Genomic DNA, 20,073 nt, shown 5'->3' with positions numbered 1-20,073 from the left:
TCTTGTAACACTTTTCACAAATATAGTTGGTCTTCTTCCCAACAAGCTAATAAGATCAGCACATCAGATACTCACAGATTGAGGAAGCAAGGGGAGCTAAATCAAAACTGGAGTCTTGTGATTTCCACAGCCCTTTCGCCCTTTCCCTTATTTCAGGGCAACTTAAGTACACAGATAATCTTCAGTGTTCCTTTGTTGAGTAATCTTGCTTTTGGTTTGAGCAGAACGTAGTGATATGGAGTATATAGACAAAGACACATAGATATACATCATAAAAGTGTGTTCTCTGAGGATGACCTCAGTTCTACCGCAACTGGCTGAAATCTAGGCATGCTACTTGGCCTCTCAAAGATTCTGTTTTTTTAAATCTGTCAAACAGTATTAATAATAGTAACTTTCATAATGAGAACTAAATGAAATAACGTATGTAACTAGCTAACCTAGCTCACTGCAAAATGCACAGTATGAATTTGGTAAATGCCATTTATTTGTATTATTAGACATCTCAGTTCACACACACACACATATACACAAAATACTCTAGAATAAATCCTACACTTTGGTACTGAGAAGGCAGGAGAGAGGAGAGATATATTTTAGTTTAGCAAGTTTTCTTGCAAAGGAAGGTTTGAGGAGTGTTTTATCATGGAAAAGTTGAGCACAGGTCAAGATGGAATAAATAAATTTCTAGCTCTTCTGTAGTTAGGTTTTCACAATGGGACTACATCATTTTTTTGGAAGGAATTGCAGAAATATCACACACATACACAAGGACCCATGTACATATCCACTTAGATATTTAAATATTTGTTCTAAAACATATTCCAAGTAAAACAGGAATGTTTTTATTTTCTGCTTTTGTAGGGGAGACACACACTCTTCCTAGAGTACAGAGCTCTAAGTGGCTTGCTTATACCTTTGCCTTACTCAACTACAAAACCTACTCCACCCAGCAAGACTACTCAGCAAAACACTTTGCTGGAAATGTATTGTGAATTCACAGGAATTGCAGTTCTCCAGGTGGTGTAATTCATGGCTGGTAATGAGAGCAGCTGAAACCATCTGTTTTCATAACTTTCTTCTGCACCTTAATATAAACCTCTTCATTAGCCAATAGGTCTATTTAACTATCCTAACACATTTGCTTCCTGAAATATTTTGTGGAAAGACTAGAAATAATGAGATAAAAACAGATAAACAAACAAACAAGTGGACTTACATACAGAAACTTTTAATGATCTTAAAGCCCAATTACTTACTGCTGATGCTGAGGCACAAAGGCAAAACCAATAGGGGAAAAGTGTAAAGTAGTTGTCAATGTTTTTCTCTTCCACATCTTTTTCCTGTTTAGTCCTCAGAATGATGCTTTTTAAGGGAAGTTCCTTCCCAGGAAAGGACTCCAAACTGTACCCATTGAAATCTCTTCCCTTAGGTGTTTCAGAGAAGCACAAAAACATATTGACGTATACGTGTCCTCCCTCCTGTCACTGTATAATTTTGTGATCCTTTGCTACAAACAGTTTGTCAAAAATATTGGTGTCAAGGAAGCAGAATGAAAATTTTGGGCTTTGGGTTTAGAAAAAGTTAAATTTGAATCCTGGTTCTCTTGCTTACTAATTAACCGTTATCCTCCCCAAAGAAAAGAGAAAAAAAAATCTCATCCAATTGCAAGTGTGAATCCAGGTCCCTGCTTGGACCACCCTTGGTGTGAAAGATTCACTTGGGAGTTACACAACACAGGAGCCCTTCTAAGCAGAGGAGGAGGCCAAGCTGTTATTGTTTTCACCTAATCCACTTCCTTAGAGCTCTGTCTTTAGGAATCAACATGATCCTAGACACAATGGGATCCATATCTTATTTTTTTAATTGACAGATAAAATTGTATATATTTATATTGCACAATATCAAATCCTGAAAAATACATACTTTGAATGGTATAATCAAGCCAATCAACATATGCATTACCTCACAGAGTTGTCATATTTTGTAGTGAGAACACAAAATCCGCCCACAGCAATTTTCAAGAATTCAGTATATTAACTATCGTCACCATTTGTACAATGGATTTCTTGAACCTATTCCTCCTGTCTAACTGAAATTTTATATCCTTTGACCAAGATCTTCCCACCCTCTGCACCAACCCCTGGTAACCACCATCCTACTCTCCACATCTATGAGATCAATTTTTTACATTCCACGTGTGAGTGAGATCATGAGGTATATACACAATGGAGTACCATTCAGCCACAAAAAAATAAGGAAAATCTGTAATTTGCAACAACTCAGATGAAGTTGGAGGGCATTATGTTACATGTGTCAGGTAATACCAACTCTGTCCTTTTCTAGGACAGTAAGCCTTTTGACTCCCCAAGGAAATGATTTAAATATATCCAAAAATTATTATTAGTTTACAAATATGACACAGAAAGAAATTTGTATTTTGAAAAATTAGTAAAAAAAATAAGAAATATAAACAATAATACTTAGAGTACTCCATAGTGTGTATATATTAAACAGTGCAATAATTAATGACGGCATGGGAATACAGATCTCCATATCAAGAGGTCATTTCAAGACATTTCTGATAAATTATCCAAAACAGCCAAAGAAACTGGTAGGCTGAGAAAAGCCCTTCAGTGAGTCAAGAATCATCAAACAAGACTTAATGCTAGGATTTTTTTTTCCCACTAATTTTGTTGTGGTAGTTAAATTAGAGGCTATGAATGAACTATTGTGGATTTATTTCAATTAATTCCCCCTCTCCACTCCTTTCTTTCAATCTTTAGCTTAGGTCTTCATTACAAAAAAAAAAAAAGACACTTGCAAGTTCAATCTTTGAGATAAATTTAACAAAGCAAGGCAAGATAGAAGAGCAGTCTATGCACATCTGTAACCTAATTTAAAAACAGAATTTGAGGGGCCATCCTAATTGTTCTTCTGATTTTCTACTCTATTCCAATGATTTAAAGACCTTAAACTCACTGCCTGTGAAAACTTAAAAGTGTTGGCACACAGAGAACCAGTTAAGTTTGGCTCTCTAAACATCTGGAAGATAACCTCGTATACAGGGTACAGCATCAAATCATCACAGGCTAGGAGGAGAGACTCTTCTATAATGGAGAGTAAAATCTCACAGGTTAGGGAAGAACAACTGTTCTTGAAAGTACCAAAGTGATATTAATGAATCCACAGAAGAAGCTAAAAAACCACCACCACAGGTACTTAAATCCAAACTACAGAAAGGGGGAGGGTTAGATTCCCCATTTGGCCACATAGATGAGCAAAGGTTTTTTGAATTTATATGTGATTTTTTTTCTTAACAGTGCTAAGATCTCCTAGTATATCCTGTTCAAGAAACCATTAAGAATCTGGTAGTTTTCCCAGTTACTCAAAATTCTAATGAACAGAAGCAGCCACACAAACCCAACCTGACAAGCTTAAGATCTTTTGTTGGTTGTCTTCTATAATTGATATTATGTGTATATTGAGAATAAATGGATGCTGTAGCCTCGTGCCAGTAGCTCTTTCTAACATGTTTCGCATTCTCTTGAATCGTGTGCAACTTTAGAAATTTCCAATCATCTTACTTTTAAATACCTCAGCTTACAATATGAAAGGGCTTAGCGCTGATTTAAATTAAGACATTTTACATAGCTCTGCCTGCATGCTTTCAAAATACTCAGTCAATTAACATAAGCTACCTTCCAAAGGATTTGCTTTAAGTCAGGTGGAAAGGAATATTATTTCAGAACCAAAGAAGGAAAAAAGAATATGGAACATACAGCAAACCAAATTTCTGAAAAAACGTTAAAACTGCTCAATTTCCCCATATTTTAGGGGGGCTGTCTTTTTTCCTCTTTAAAGAGTTCTACCAAAGATCTCTTTTGGCACACAAATGTCCTCCAGGAGGTCTCCCAAGGGATATAATATCCAAAATGTTGCAGCCCCTTCTATCAGACAGTGGCTCAGAAAGCCTCTCTGCAGCCTCCAAAATACTGCAGGCTCAATTACCCTCCGGGTGCAGTGAACGGGCAGAGCCATTAATCATTCCCAGGGCACTAAACGCCTTGAGAACAGTTCTGAGTCTGGCAGCATTAGGGATGTCCAAGAACTGAGCTTGTCTCCAACAGCTGGGCCATGCTGCCACCTGGAGGACAGCAGAACACATAGCTCCTCAGATGCCAGTTACTTCCCTCCAGTCCTAGTGGACCTACAACGTGTGGGCTATGCTGGATGAATATCACCTGCTTCTTGGGTGGTTAACCCTGTTCTCACGTCTCCAAAAAAAAAAAAATCTGAAACTTTCCCCTTCATTGATAACTTGCTGTGGAGCACCTGAGGCCAGTGGTGGTGGGTGAAGGCAGGTGGCCTGGGGGGCCTTGCTTTCTCTGCTGTCCTTCATCCACACGCTCACCCACGTTGAATCCCCATCTGTAGGTGAGCCTTTCCTCTTACTCACCCATCCAGTTAATGGGGGTCTCACATTCTGTTCTTTCAACAAGACATCGTGTCCACCCTCAAAGTGCTCAGACTCTGGATGAAGAGGTAGACAAGAGAATAGAAGGCTGTGCTCATTCATGATAAATGTTCAAACACGGCGAGCACAAGATGCAGTGGAACCCCGAGAAGAGATACCTAAATTGGTCAGGGTCAGGGGTTAAAGGACATTAGGAAAGTCTCCCGTGAGAGTGATCCTTTAGAGGCATCATGAAAAGAACAAGAGTGTGGTTTTGACATCTGGTAAGACCATGGTAAAATACACAATTATAACCACAAATCATGCAAACTTTCTGATTTTCATTTTCTTCCCCTGGAAAATTTTTGTATTAATACCTATCTTATAATGTTATCAGGGGAGATAGAAAATTATATATGTCAAAGAGCTGTGATAGTATATTAGCTCAACACCAGATAATCATTTTTGTTCTAATTATCCCAGCTCTGGCAGAGAAAGTTAGACTTATCTGGGCAGAGATAAAGGGCAGGGAACGGATGATGCAGCCCAAGTAAGACAGGTGAGAAAGCAATGTGCTCTGGGGTCTTCACACAGCACATTGTCACTGGAAACACTTCTGTTTCACCCTTCTTTTCATGTTTCTCTGTGTCCATCTTTCCTCTTTTTATTCTGCTCTTTTTTTCTCCACTGTCCCCACTTAACACTCAAGGGAAAGTAAAAATGCCATTTGTTTCTAGAATATTAAACAAGTTTTTAAGTTTCAGGTAATTAATGATAAGAATATTTGTATGGAGGAGAAATAGGCATCTGGAAATGATTCTTTTTTTCATCAAATTTCCTTTACGTAACTTGGTGGAAAACTTAGTAGGCAGGTAATGCTATTCTGGTAAGTGCTGACACCGGTTGATCCCTATAGAATGCACTAGTTAAGTTTGAGTGAGCTGTAGTGACACCTCCTGGTAAGACAAAGAGAACATCATTCAACACAAAACTTTCCAGGCCTTTATACTTTTATGATAAAAAGCAGTACATGAAAACATCTTCCATATGAAGTATCTTCCTAGGTGGAACAAAAAGTTTGTCTGTAAAGATAGATACACTCACATATGTACATACTCCAGTTGACTGACTACCATTTTAAAAACTGGCTGAGTCAAAGAAAGAAAACAGTTTTGTTTTTATGTCATGACATCAGGTAACTGTAATTTCCTAGACAAATATTTCATTCACATATTTTGGTACTATGTGTGCAAGGCCCTACTGAACATTCTCTAAAGCTAAGAAGAAGTTACTTTATGTAGTATTTTTGACCTGGTTCTTTGTGAAATGCTGATCTGATACTTCCTCTTGAATGCCTGGACTACCAACACCTTAATACTTCCACCTCAACCCTGCCCACTCCCTAGCCCCCACACGCAATTTCCCATAGGTCTGTCCTGGCCTGAAGTATCTTCAAGTCTAGAGTCCCCCAGTCCACTTACCTCCCCACTCTCCCTCTCAAACTCTCTAACTCTTTCAAAATGCACCGGTGTTTTGACAAGCATTTTTAAGACATTAGGTACCAGAAGTAAATGATAAGGAGTGTTAATAACTTAACCTTCTGTATCTCCTTAGTGACACATATATGACATATATATTTGACCTTGTAAATATTAAGTTAGCTTCTCTCAGAAATACAATTCCATGATCTTAATAGTAAGAATCTCAGCCAGCCAACCAAACCTATCATCCATCCACCCATCCACCCATCCACCCATCCATCCATCCACCCATCCACCCATCCACCCATCCATCCATCCACCTACCCACTCACCCAATATTTATTTAGTTGTCTACCATATGCTGTACTCTCTGTTAAGTATTAAGGGAACAAATGTAATCACAACAGACATTATCCTTGTTTCACAGAATTTAAAATCTAGTCATGAAATAGAGGGGAAAAGAGTTAACCAAACAAAAGAAAAGCTCAAATTGAGATAAGGTCTATTAAAGAGACAATAAGGAATAAAGAGTGAATAAAAAGAGTAAGAGATATTCTGCAGATTAATAGAAGTCACAGACAGGCTTTTCAAGGAGAAGGCAGAGCTAGAGACATGAAGGGCAGGAAGAAGCTATGAAGAGTCAATAAAAGTGTCCCAGATGAAGGGAACAGCATGCACAAAGGCCCTGTGACAGAACAAGAGTTTTTTTGTTTTGTTTTTGTTTTTGTTTTTCATAGAAATACCAAGGAAGCAGAGAGTGGTGAGAATTGAAGTTGATGTATGTGACTACAAGGATTCCATTCAAAGTGTAATGAGAAGCCTTTGGATGGTTTTAAGCAGAGAAGAGTATAATCCAATTTCGGCCTTGACAAACAGCTAAAACATAAGGTTCAGTATTCCTTATTCTTGAGATTACAAGTGTTTCAGATTTTAGATCTTTTTGTGGTGATTTGGGAATATTTGCAGTAGACTTACAAGTTCAGCATCCCTAATCTGAAAATCTGAAATCCAAAATGCTCCAATTAGCATTTCCTGTGAGTGTCATGTCTGTGCTCAAAAAGTTGCAGATCTTGGAGCATTTCGTATTTTGTATTTTCATATTAGGGATACTCATTTGATCCTCATAACAACCTTATAAGATATGTATTAATATTGTCAATTTTATTGATGAGAAAATGGAAGAGAAGTAACCTGCCCCAAGTCTCACAGCTATTAAGGGAAAGCTCTGGGACTTGTACTCAGGCAGCCCATCCATGGGGTCCATGCTTCAAACACCATGCAATATGGCCTCTCAGATCTTTGTTTCTGCAAGGGCAAGCGTGAGAGGAAACTGCTGGGAGATAAGGCAATGATCCAGGCCCAAAATGATGGTTTCTCAGACCAGAAGGATAGCAGTGGAGATAGCAAGAATTAAGTTAATTTGTCATGTCTTTTAGCAGTTAATTCTATGAAATTTGGTGGATTGGATATACTAGGTAAGAGAAATGCCTGCTGGAAACAGGACAACGTTTTTCTCTATTGTGATTTTTCTATTGTCTCTATTCAGTAGACATTTTCTGTGTGGCCAGAATCTTCCCATCAAGTTGTCTCTTCCAAGATGAGTATATCTTCAATAGATTTGCTACACAGAACAATTTCCATTTCAATATCTGATAGGGCAGCCTTTTAACATGTTCATTTTTCTGGTCATTTCTATGTACAATCATAACATTGTAAGATATACTCTGTACAGTATTGTTTTATTTTTCTTTTTACACTATATCATTCATTTTTACCTTATCAATAGTTATTCTTTGAAAAAAATGCTTTTTAATGATGATAAACATGCTTTTTTCCCATCTTTGGGCAGATGTATTGTTTCTAATTTTACAGTATTCAAAGAAACTTCCTTTATATAAATTTTTGACTGAAACCCAGATTATTTCCTAAGGTTAAATAAATAAAAATAGAAGTTCTAGGTCTAAGGGAATAGTCTTTTTCATTGGCAAATTGCATTTACCCATTTCTACATTGCATTCTACTAAGATACAACTGTTGAAATTCCACCAGGGCTCTGTGAGAAAACTTGAAAGGAGGTAGATTATGTGGGAGCAGGTGCTGGTAGATGGATAGATGTGGCAGTGAGTGTCAATGGAAGTTCCTTTCTGATGTTCTCCATTTTATCAGTGAATAGGAAGCATGGCCTTCATCTGAGAGTGAGGGTGTAGACAGAGGCACTGAGTGTTTAAGGAGAGAGGAGAAAGTATCATATAGACTCAGGAAGCACAGTAAGATCACCTGATAACCTTAAGAACATACTTAAGATTAATGAGTACGAAATGACACCATGGTTGTGTATTTCCCTTAGATATGTTCAGCTTCATGGATGTAGGCAAAGTATAAGAACGTTGGATTCAGGATTACACTTCTAAATCTTCATCTCTGGTCCAGAGTGCTATGATAACCTTGGTCTAATGTATACTTCCTGCTCGACTTTCTTGATTCTCCATCTGTGCCTCACTTTTCTGCCTTCTCTCCAGCAACTCTATAACAGAGACTACTATCTACTGCTTCGTCACCTGAAAAATTTATACCTGACTTTTAGCTTCAATTCTCCCATTAAGCTTTTCTATACCATCTCCTAAATTGAGACATACACCCTTCATTATAGCTCCCCCAACATCCTGTAATATGTATGATTTCATCTACACATTTATTTGATACATTTAATTTTTCATTGTATTCTAAATACCTTCAGAGCAGGGACCTTTTCATTTCTTTTTAATAGTCATTTCTTATTTCAATACCTGGGACACGGTAAGTCCTCATTCAATGTTTATTAATGAAATTAAGTGAGGTTTCCTAATCAAAAGATAAATTTCCTTATAAACCTTTATCAGCAAGAAGTCAAGTTGCCTTGATCATACCCACGCCATGGCCTCATTACTAGTGAAGGCACCTTTCCATAAAAGGTAACAGGCCTAAGAACAAATTATTCAAAAGTGTTAAAAATAACGCTAGTATTCACTTCCATGTGTTGCTTGTATCCAATATTTAGTTTATCTCCTCAGCTTTAGGATGATAGTAATACTTATAATAAATACTGTATTTGTATATATTTTTTAGATTGTCTAAATATTTTCATGATTTCAATATAAACTATAAAACACACCACAAACACAAGCTCTTACAAAAAGAATATCAAGTATATATATATATATATATGTTTTGAGACAGGGTATCACTCTGTTGCTCAGGCTAGAGTGCAGTGGCACAATCACGGCTCTCTGCAGCCTCAAGCTCCCAGGCCTAGAGAGTTCCTCCCACTTCAGCCTCTCCACTTGTGGGGAGTACAGGCGTGTATGACTGCACCCGGCTATTATTACTATTATCATTTATAGAGACAGGGTCTCCGAATGTTGCCACAGCTGGTTTGGAACTCCTGGGCTCAAACAGTCCTCTCATCTCAGCCTCCCAAAGTTCTGCGATTACAGGTATGAGCCACCTCACCCAATCAAGGATGTCAAGTTTAAACCCAGCTATGGAGATTCCTTCAAAAAGAGAGTTTCTTTTTAACAATCTTTAAGAAAAGATAGACATTTAACCAACTTGGCAGGCTAAGTTGTACATTCCAGGATGGATATAGTATGAAGAAAATATTGAAAAGGTTAATACATTAAAAAGTTATTTAATAAGTTAGATCTTTGTAAGCAGGAATTTACACTAATGTATCTTTGCCTCATGAGGTCATGTATAAAACACATAATAAATGAAACTGTTCAGAATAAATGGACTTACTTCTTCATTTTTTATTTGGTCATTCTACCTTTAGGGAGACACGGACATGGAATAAAGAAAGGCCAAACTTGGAGCTAATAACATAGTATGGGAATTGCAGATACATTGTAATTCTCTCACTGCATTCTTCATACACAAATTGTAATGGAAAGTAAAGATAAAAGAAGCCTCAATTGCCATTAGAGAATAATACAGGATTTCCACTTAGATCCTTAGAAGCAGCTGTTCTTAAAAATTAATACACTTGGTAAATTTTCAAGTTTCCTCCTCACTTTTCCTGTGTGAACATTTCTCTTACGTGCTTTGGATGGAAATGGATGTTACCAAATCTTGGAGTTCAAACTCAACAGCCTCAAGAGTTATTCATACCTGAACAAGCTAGTGAGGGATATTAACTGGTCTCCAAATCTCTTAGGGGTCATTTGAAGACAAATTCTCTGCCCAAATGTTATTAATTAGATATTTAGCACCTTAGCTAGCTTATTTCTGAGAGCCTTTGGAGATCAAAAGGGGTGTGAAAAAGTGAAGAGAATCAAAGCTCAAACACCAATTTGAATTGAGCTGCACAATGCGAATTTACTCCAGCACTTTGTTGCAGTGTAATCTATAAATAATCCTCTGAGGTTCACTTGCCAATTAGAAATCATCACATGGCATACACCATAGATGTCAGTAGTTAATTTGCATGTCAGTGATACATTAATTTGATGAAAATTTTAAAGCTTTATGCACTATTTATATCATAATTGGAAGCACATTTAGTGTACTAATACACTGATTTTTATTGTATCCAATGTGCTTTTTAAAAGGCCAAGTTTAAATGATCATTATTTATCATTGTCTGTTTGATAGTTCGTTTCAGTTCAAGACAACACATCTGCATTTTAGACTTGAAGCTATTTTAACATTAACTGTAATCAAGATGTCTGGAAAAAAAAGTCATGTCTATGTGGGTGATAGAAAAGATGAAAATCAGGTTTACATCTAGAGGTAGCTGGTTAGATTTGGAAGTTTAATTCAGAGTTTTTGGCCTTAGCCTAACCATGCCTCCTTGGGTCGATAATTTAGCGATAATTTAGTTTTGTGGTTTTTGGGGTTTTTTTTCTCTCAACTTTTTGCTTCATTTTATTTGTTTCTCCCTGAGTTTTTCTACAGTCAAAAAGTACAGTTTTGTGGGTGGTCCCTTCTAAGAGCTGAAAATGGTTGTTGATTCAAGTACAAAGAGAAACAACCTGTGGGTGCTTAAACGTTAACTACTGTATTTAAGTGTGGTACTTAGAACAAATACTGTATTTACATAGAAATTTCAAAAGCTGCCAGCCTGGTGGGATTAGCTTGCCATGGGAATTGTCACACCTGTCAATCAGGTCTGCCAGGGTAGCAAGGGGAAAGCCAATGATAGAGAGACAGAGGAATCAAGAAAGAGAAGAGAGGAAAAGAGAAAGAGAAAGGGAAAGAGAAGTGTATGGGAGTTTCCACTACCATGGAATCACAATAACTTTTTCTACATTTATTTCCACCCTGATATCCTCAGACTACTTAAGTCTTAGTGTGCCCAGAAAATTAAAAGATTTAGTTACTTGGCTTTTCTGATTGGTGCTATAATAGTGTTTTTCTAGAAACTGAATGTCATTAAAGTCAGGGTTGGGCTTTCATTTTGGTGCAACAGATGTATGCACATGTTGACTTACTTTGAGCTAATTCCTTAGGAGTTTATGGCTTCTCCACCCAGCCAGAATACAAGTATCTTTAGATCAGAAATCTTGCCTCCTTTGTCTCATGTCACCTCAGCATTTGCAATATTAGACCTTAATAACTACTTGCAGGCTTGATTGTACTTCTAAACACTTATTCATAACAACTTTGATGATCTGCCTTCTTCCACAATTGAAAAAGAAAAACAAAATAAGACATTATGACAGAGAAATTGTATACATAAGTAGAATAAAGTAAGGTCATTTGGAAAGATAACACATATATTCATTCCAAGGAGTCTTATATGATAATAAATTAAATCTCCCATGGGCTCTGAGCTTTCTTGTGCCTAAAGCAAAAAGAAAATGTAATCAGTTAAGAAATCTACATTACCCCTGAGATTAAAAATACTAATTTATCAGAAAAAAAGCTAGGTATCAAGAGTACACACAATCATTAATTTGCATTGTCTTATATCTCCTCATTTCACAAATGTTTCATTTTTATTACCCATTAATGTTAGTCTTCACGTTACAGGAAATATAAATGAATATTGGTTATTAAAATAAAAATCTAATTCAAAGCATTTTCTTCACAATAGCTTGTGAAAGAGAAGACTAAATTTAGTATTTAAATGGGCTTATTTGAATCACTTAATCAATGTGTTTCTAGTTGCATTTAGTTATGAAAACTGAATCAAACATCATCTTTCTTAGTAAACATTTAATAAGAGCTAAACTCATAGAAGAAACTAAGCTTTTAAAATAAAATGTTCCCAAAATAAACATTGACGATATCCATTTTTACATAAATAGAACAGCATCCCCCAAAAATAAAAAAGTGAGTGGAATTAAAGCCACCATTCAAATGTAGCAAAGCAAAGACACCATGAAACTCTCTTATTTTGCCTTATGCTTTATGAAGTTAGTGCCTGATTTACCCAAATGTATATTATGTACTACACAGCTCGGACTTTTAAAGGTCAAAGACAAATTCCTCAGTGAATTTTATTAAATGAAACTTGCCCTTCTTTTCCTGTCTTAAGTCCTGACTCCAGGTTTAATAAAAGTTGTTCTTCTCTCTTCACCCCTCCCCCCACTAATTCCCACGTTTTCAACAGTAAGTTCTCTAACCAGACAATGCTGAAGATATTTGCACATAAATTTATGACATAGGAGAAAAATAACAAAAGAGTCAGACCCAACATAGTATTAATTTAAAAGGCAATTAATTTTGAAGAAGAAAAAGGGTATCAACATAAACTCAGCAAGGGCATGAATGATAGTATATAGTACAAATAAATCTCTATTTGGGGGTCCTGAGAAATTTCAGCAAGTAGTTGTTGAGTAATGAATGTTTGTAATTCATTAGCCACTATTTTAAAATGCAAAGCACACCATGACATCAATGATGTTCTTTTTAATCTCAACAAACAGGCTATTACAATTAAAGCACTTGCAAAAAGACAGTACGTTTAAATATAAGTTTTGATGAGATTTCAATGTTTTAATAATAATTGAATAACACTTCATAATTCCATAGAAAGACATAAAAATCTTGAGATTGGTTCAAAAATATATGTGTTTGTAAACACCAACCTTTTATGAATATTTAGAAGCAGCTAGCATTTCTATTTTGAAAATTCTTTTTTTCTCAGATCTCTTAATAAGGTTTTAGTGTATCTTTAAGAAGATAATCGTTATTTACTTAAAAATATTTATTTTCCAAATACAGAAAATAATAACATTTACAAGTGCTTCATTTTCTATGCCCCCTTTCCATCTTCCTTCAGTTCCTAGACAACAAAACAATGGTTCATTCTTCATGTGGAAGAGTAAACTCAATAAACGCGAATGGCCAGGAGGCCTACAGCAGTGAAATTATGGCTTCACAAGGACTTTTTTTTTTCTTTATGAACAAGTTTAGAAAGACCTTTTTCAACATATTTTAAAGTCATGCATACTTCAATGATATAATTATCTTGGCAACACTAAATACTGCTGACTGACAAATGAGACCAAAATAATTAAGTTCTGTTCTTTGCACAATCAAGATTTAGTGCAGTAATCAATCTGGGTAAGAATTTGGAGTCTGGAGACTTCAGAAGATGAACAAGCTACTAGCTAAAATTGGTCATGTGGGAAGATGGTTAAATGAGTATACAGTTTATACATAGCTGTGAATACTCTTCATGTCTTAATCTTCATTAGAACCTGGTTGATTCATTGTTCATGTGGTCCTGTACTAAGTTGGACATGGTATACAAGTAGACAAAAGAACAATTGAAAAGATAATCCAATGCATTCAGTGGGCACGAACGGCATTGAAAATGTAAAATAATAGAGTTGAAAATATAATAGTTTTTAAGCAAAAAAAAAAAAGAGGTACGAATGCTGCTATGAAAGCATTAAGGTTATAAACATTATGATAAAAGAGAGAGAGAGAACACAATAAATACACTTTTCCACATACATATTTGTCGAACCGTGAGTATGGTCTGGATGCCTACCCAGTTTCCATTTTTATTTTCTTCTACCTAACTCTCTCTTCTCTCCTTGGAATAAATCATACAGCTTTCCATACCCTCAACAACACTCCCACTACATGGTTTTTCCCTGTGGAATCAGACTGCCGTCATAGAGAGGTGTTCATGTTAAGTACTTCTCCTGAGGGCTGGAACTCCAGGCTTCATCAGATTGATACACTTAGCAGGTCCATCAGGGATGTCAAAGTGAAATATAACCAGGTCAGTTGGGTGCATTAGTAACTACTGGGATTTACAACCAGCTACAAATACTATATATGTGTATATATATATGCACACACATATATATACATGCACACATACATACATATATACACATATATATACACAAATATTGTATATTTGTAGACAATATTGTAAACTTGTACATATATATTTATATATACACACATATATAAGAAATCATAATAATTTAATAATTTCTCTTGTCAAGAGCTTATTCTGAATACTACCCACGGACCTCAGAAAAAGAAAGAGCATTTTTTTCCCAGCAAAATGCATCCTCCTTTGTAGTGGGCTAAGGAATAGGCACCATGAACAGGTGATACCATTGTAATTTAAAGAATGGAAGAAAGTCAAATAAGAGTATCTACCATCCAACGAAAGGAACTGTATGCAGAAGTCTTTTGGGATCTCCAACTGAGGATAACCGGCTCCCTCTGATTCTGGGTACACATGTCTGCCTCCATGAATGTTAGCATGCGGCCAGGGTGGGGGAGCAATGGACGTCTACACCAGTGCTTGGCCATTTGTAGAGTGGAAATTGCACTTTGCTTTCAAAAATGGATTCTCCTCCCAGCACCATGCAACTCGACTAGCTGAAGGCACAAATGGAATAAATGCACATTCTAAAAAAAGGAGGGAGGGGGCGAAAAAATAAACCCCACCCAGGAATCTTTAAGGGAAACAGGTGCTAGCAAGAGAAAGCGGCCAGCTGTCAATAACACTTAAAACTCCATCTTCGTTACTCTGAAAACAATTTCAATGGGGGAAATACCGTGCCCTGTTCCTGAGGGTTTAATTTACTAGGCTGTCTCTGTGAATTAGAGTCAGATCTAAGTTTCGCACTCAGGAGCGGTTTTCTCTGTCGACTACGTTTGCTCTTCCGAGCTCCAAGTCGGTTTCTAAAATGGGCAAGCCTTTTCCCTCCCGGCAGCCTTGACCCCCACTCCTCCAAGTCGTCACTTTTATTTACAGCCCGGTGAGCGGTGTCTGTGTCGCTCAGCCTGGCCCCAAGAACAGTCACCGCGAACAATGAGCCAGACAAGGGACCCACCCAGAGAACGCCTGCTCGCCGGCCGCGCGCAAGCCCGCTAGCGCGGGACGCTCCGGGCTTCGGGGCTCTGGGTGCCCCCACCCCTTCCCCTCTAAACCCCAAGGAAAGCAAGAAGGTAGGTCGTTCCCTACACCCAGGTACTCGTGCTCACCCAACCAGCCCTGCCTCCCAGCACCCACCAATTAGATGCCGTATCTAAAAAGAAAATAAAAAAAGCGGGGCAGCGTGGCGGTTCAGCCGGCTGCCGACCCGGATCCAACTCGCCCAGCTTGCGGGTTTGGCGCTCACTTGCGCCCGAGTCCGCGGCATTTTGAAATCCCGGAGGATTTGGGGTGGGGGCAAGAGGTGGGGCCACGAGCCATAAAGTGGCTTCCGCTCCCTCCCCCCGGCCTGGCACAGCTCCGGGATCGGGCAAGACACAAAAGACGGGTCTTATCAGTGCCAACAACTCTGCCGCCGCCTCGGGCCATGCTGCGCACGGGAACCGGGCGGCGGGCCTCGCGGTCGGGTCTCTGCGCCGGCCGCGGCGCGCCGGGAGGCTGGAGCATCCTGGACGCCGCCAGAGCTCCCCGGTGCGCTTTTCGCGCAGAACCTCCGTCAGCAGCTCCTCGCTTCGCAGATAAAGAAGTAAAGGCGACGGAGGAGAAATGGAGAGAAAAGGGAAGACTTACTTGGGGGCCGAAGGCTCAGCCTGACTCCCGCTTCGGACTCGGCAGGTGTCTAGCACCGCGGGCCCAGGCGGAAGGCGCTGGCGCAGCGCAGAGCAGGGACTCCACTTATCGAGGACTGGAAACTCCCCTTGCCGCCCGGCCTCCGCGCTGCGCTCCTTGCTGTCACCGCTCCGAGCGACGCAGGCACGCTCCCCGCTGCCTCCTAGTCCTGGTGGGTCTCTCTGCTCTCTTCTCCGGGTTCGTCCGCTCCCTCACAGACCACACCCTGTCACCTCAGCAGCCCTCCACTCCTTCCTCTTTGACACTTCCACCGGTTACTCCGCCGTCTGCGTCCTCCCACCCCCACTCAGCCCACGTGCTCCTGCCGCTCCCTCGGCTCTAACTTCCCCTGCCGGGAGCCCCCACCTCCGCTCTGAAAACCCTTTGGTCTCTGAGCAGGGGAAAGGTCCTGGGGTCTTCGCCCACATCTCCCCAGGCCCTTCGGTGCAAAGGACCTTGCTTTGATTTTGTCGTTGCGATGGTTTAGATATATTGTGTACTACATATTAAGATGTATTTCTTTAAATGAGCTACATATCACTTTTAATACTGTAGAAATGTATTCCCAGGTGTTAATCATCTAACCGCTGTTCATTGGCCTTTGGAGTTAGACTGTCAGCCCAGCTTTTCTCCATATGCAAAAAGGCCCACAAAGTTCCAGAACACCCTCTTTACCCCAATCCAAGCCACACGTGCCCTTTTCTAATGAGCCCGCTTCCTCGCTGTTATTGTTGTGGAAATATTTTTATATTTACTTTTCCCTGTTTCTGCAGACAATGAGAAGTTCCTTTCTAAGGGCTTCCCTCAGCATTCTGTTCTTAGTTTCATGATAATACCTATCACTCATGTGACATTTTCCTGTTTGGATTACTTCCTCTACTACTGGTCTTTAAGTTTCTCTAGGCAGAACTATTGGTCTGTAAGTTTGTTCAGGCAGAAATAATTCATACTCATATTCATAACTTTGTCAACAGCTCCTAGTGTGGTCCTCGGCATACAGTACGTATTCAAACAATGTTCAAGGAGTGAATGTCCCTTAAATATGAGGCAAGCTTTGGTGGTTTTATGTGGTATTTAAAGGAAGGAAGACTTCAATTTGTATGCTTGGCTTGTATCCCATATAATTAGTCCTGTGGAAAACAAAGCATTTTGGAGTTAGCTGGATGATTGCTCATACGTTCCTTTAATTCTTGAAACAAGTCTTCCTTGTAAGTATTACCCACTTTTTCTAAGATGATACTCAGGTTGGTAACTTGGTGGTCACTAAATGTGAAGACCCCTAAGCCTTAGAGATCCCATGGTTCTTCACACCAGCCCAAGCTGCATCAGGCTGGCGTTAATGCAATACTTGACTGCCCAGCTACCCAGCCACATGCAAAACCTGCCTACCAGTACCACAGAGAGCTTACCCAACCATCTTTCCTCCAAAAATAGCATTTATTTTTCCCTCCCTCTTTCTCTTCTCTTGCTTGACTCACTTAAGTCAGAGTTCTAAAAAACAATAAACAAACACCTCTCAATGCTCAGACCTCTTGTTAAACTTATTGTCTTAACTCCTAAACTTAAAATTACTTTCATGAACATATCTTGCCTTAGCTATCCCTGTGTCTCACACAGGGCTCCATATCTCTTTGGTTTCTCCATTCAAATAAATAGTAATTAACATTTGTTAAGTCTAGAGAGACCAAAGATCAGGTAGCAGCCAGCCATTGGTCCAAGCATTAACACATAATAGCTCATTTAATCCTCAACAACCTTGTGAGATAGAGCCTATTTTATAGTCGGGGAACATAGGCATAGAGGTATATCACATAGCCAGTAATTAGTGGAGCAGAAATTAGATCCCTGGCAATCTGCTTCAGAGGCTGCTTTCTCGACCACCATGCTTTAAATGGCCTGCCATAATCCCTGGCACCTAATACATGTTAATGAGCATTTTAAAAATAATGAATGTTTACCCATCCACACTTAGCATCATAGCAGGAAGAAGAGACGGTAATGAAATGGGTAGAACTTCAGGTTTTTGAGGACATATAATTGACCTCAATACCACAAGAACTGCTTTCTGTGGTGGGACTATGGACCCTACCTGTGGCCTGTATTTGAAACATGAGAGGGACATGGTCCATGCTCATGACATCAGGTGTGCGTGACAGATCGCTGAGCCTTCACGTTTGGGTTCTAGGACCTCCTTCACAATCAGTGAAAGGCATCTCCAGCTAAACCGATTCCTGGCCAAGCCCACCAACAAGCCAATTTGTGTTCTTCAGGGACCCAGCAGTGAGCAATGTCAGTTCCTGTGGCAGGTTAAATAATGGCCCCCACAGATACCCATGTTCTAATCCCCTAGAAACTCTGTTACTTTATATGGAAGAAAATGGATTTTGCAGATGTGATGAAATTAAGAATCCTGAGAAGGGGAGATTATCCTGGATTATCAGCGTGGGCCTTAAGTGCAATCATAGGTCCTTTTAAGTAGGAGACAGAAGGAAATTTGAGACACAGAAGAGGAAAAGGGAATGTGACCACAGAGACAAAGATTGGAATGATGCAGTCACAAGCCAATGAATGGCAGCAGCCACCAGAAGCTGGAAGAGGCAAGGAAGGAATTCTCTCCAAGAGCTTCTCAAGGAAGCACAATCCTGCTTTCATATTGATTTCTGTCCAGTGAAAGTGATTTTGGACTTCTGGCCTCCAGAACTGTACAGAAATAAGTGTATATTGTTTTAAATCACCAAGTTTGTGGTAATTTGTTACAACAGCCAAAGGAAATGAAAATACAGTTCCCAAATCTGCAAGATGACTTTCAATACCTGGGGATGAAACAAAAAGATATTTCAAGCAATTGATCAATTTTCTCTTCTGTGGCCAATGAAGCCAATCATTTGTGGGGAGTGAAGGAGGAGGAGAGAGGAACATTTAGCTCTCAGCATATTATATAAAAGCCTTCCGATCTAGACTTTGCCATTATCTCCAAATAATAAATACATACAATAACTGGGATATACTTATATGATTTAAAGTAGACTTGAAAATTTAAATTTGTTGCTCACTACCCAACCATATTGCCTAAAGTACATGATAGTTTACAATTTTTTTAATTTACTAATATTTTATTTAGGATTTTAGCATCCTTGTATAATAGTGCCAGAACTACCCTACTGCTAGTAAGTAAGAAGGAGGCATTACTAATCAACAGACATAAAGTTTCAGTCAAGTGAGATGGGCAAGCACAAGAGATCTGCTGTACAGCATTGTACCTATAGGCAACAATAATGTATTATACACTTAAAAATTTAAGAGGGTAAGATCTCCTTTAAGTGTTCTTACCACAATAAAATAAAATATAAAAAATCAATATCTGGTTTAATTTTAAATATGTATGCTATAATTATCTAGTGAACATATTCATTATTCATTATAGTTAAAAGTGTTAATTTGTAAAATGAAAAAATACATAAATTCTTCTAGAATGTAATTCAGGCTCTCTTGACCTCTGAGATGCTCTAGTACGTTAAATTAAGAACCTTGATGAAGGTATTATATTTCTTTTTAACTGGGACCACCAGATAAAATATCCAGTTAATACAAATTACATCCAGTTAAATACAAATTACAGATAAACAGTTTCAGAATGAGTCCATGTGCCATGCAATATTCAGACAATAAATTGCCTCTATTTTGCAACCTGTTGTTAGCCATGCAATCGATGGGATTTCGGAACATAGCTATACTAAGGAGTTATTCATTATTTATCTGAAATTCAAGTTTAAGTAGGTACTTTGTATTTTTATTTGATATACTGACAACCCTATTTTTGATTTTTCAAATGCTCATGCATTTCCCATTTTATCCCTTCTCCCCAAGCCTTCAGTGGGACTAATGTATGTTCACTTAAAGCAGGGCTGAAACGAGATTTAACCCCTCACTACTGGCCTAGGGCTGGTGGTGCCTTGCTTACATAGCAGAAAAGAGGGTATGATGTGACTTCTCTAAGATGTATTCACAGAGTCTAAGTCTATTCTGCCCGTGAGGGATTTCCCATTAGGTTATACCAAATGTTCAGCATGCCACTATTTAACATACAAACAGTAGATCAGATTAGGATGGAAACGTATTTTTCCTTTTGAACT

At 38.6% G+C, this 20,073-nt stretch overlaps 1 protein-coding gene across 1 annotated transcript in view; it reads right to left on the bottom strand.

The window, feature by feature from the left end:
- The window catches only part of SEMA6D (semaphorin 6D), a 590,140-nt gene extending 573,909 nt beyond the window's left edge, over nucleotides 1-16,231 (bottom strand). Inside the window, exon 1 of the mRNA NM_001198999.2 lies at nucleotides 15,902-16,231. The gene's annotated coding sequence lies outside the window, so the exon portion shown is untranslated. The remainder of the gene's footprint in view (nucleotides 1-15,901) is intronic.

The sequence above is a fragment of the Homo sapiens genome, chromosome 15 (assembly GCF_000001405.40).
Source record: "Homo sapiens chromosome 15, GRCh38.p14 Primary Assembly".
NCBI classification, from domain to species: domain Eukaryota; kingdom Metazoa; phylum Chordata; class Mammalia; order Primates; family Hominidae; genus Homo; species Homo sapiens.
The sequence above is the reverse complement of the archived record's forward strand: the minus strand, read 5'-3'. Positions and strand labels throughout refer to the sequence as shown.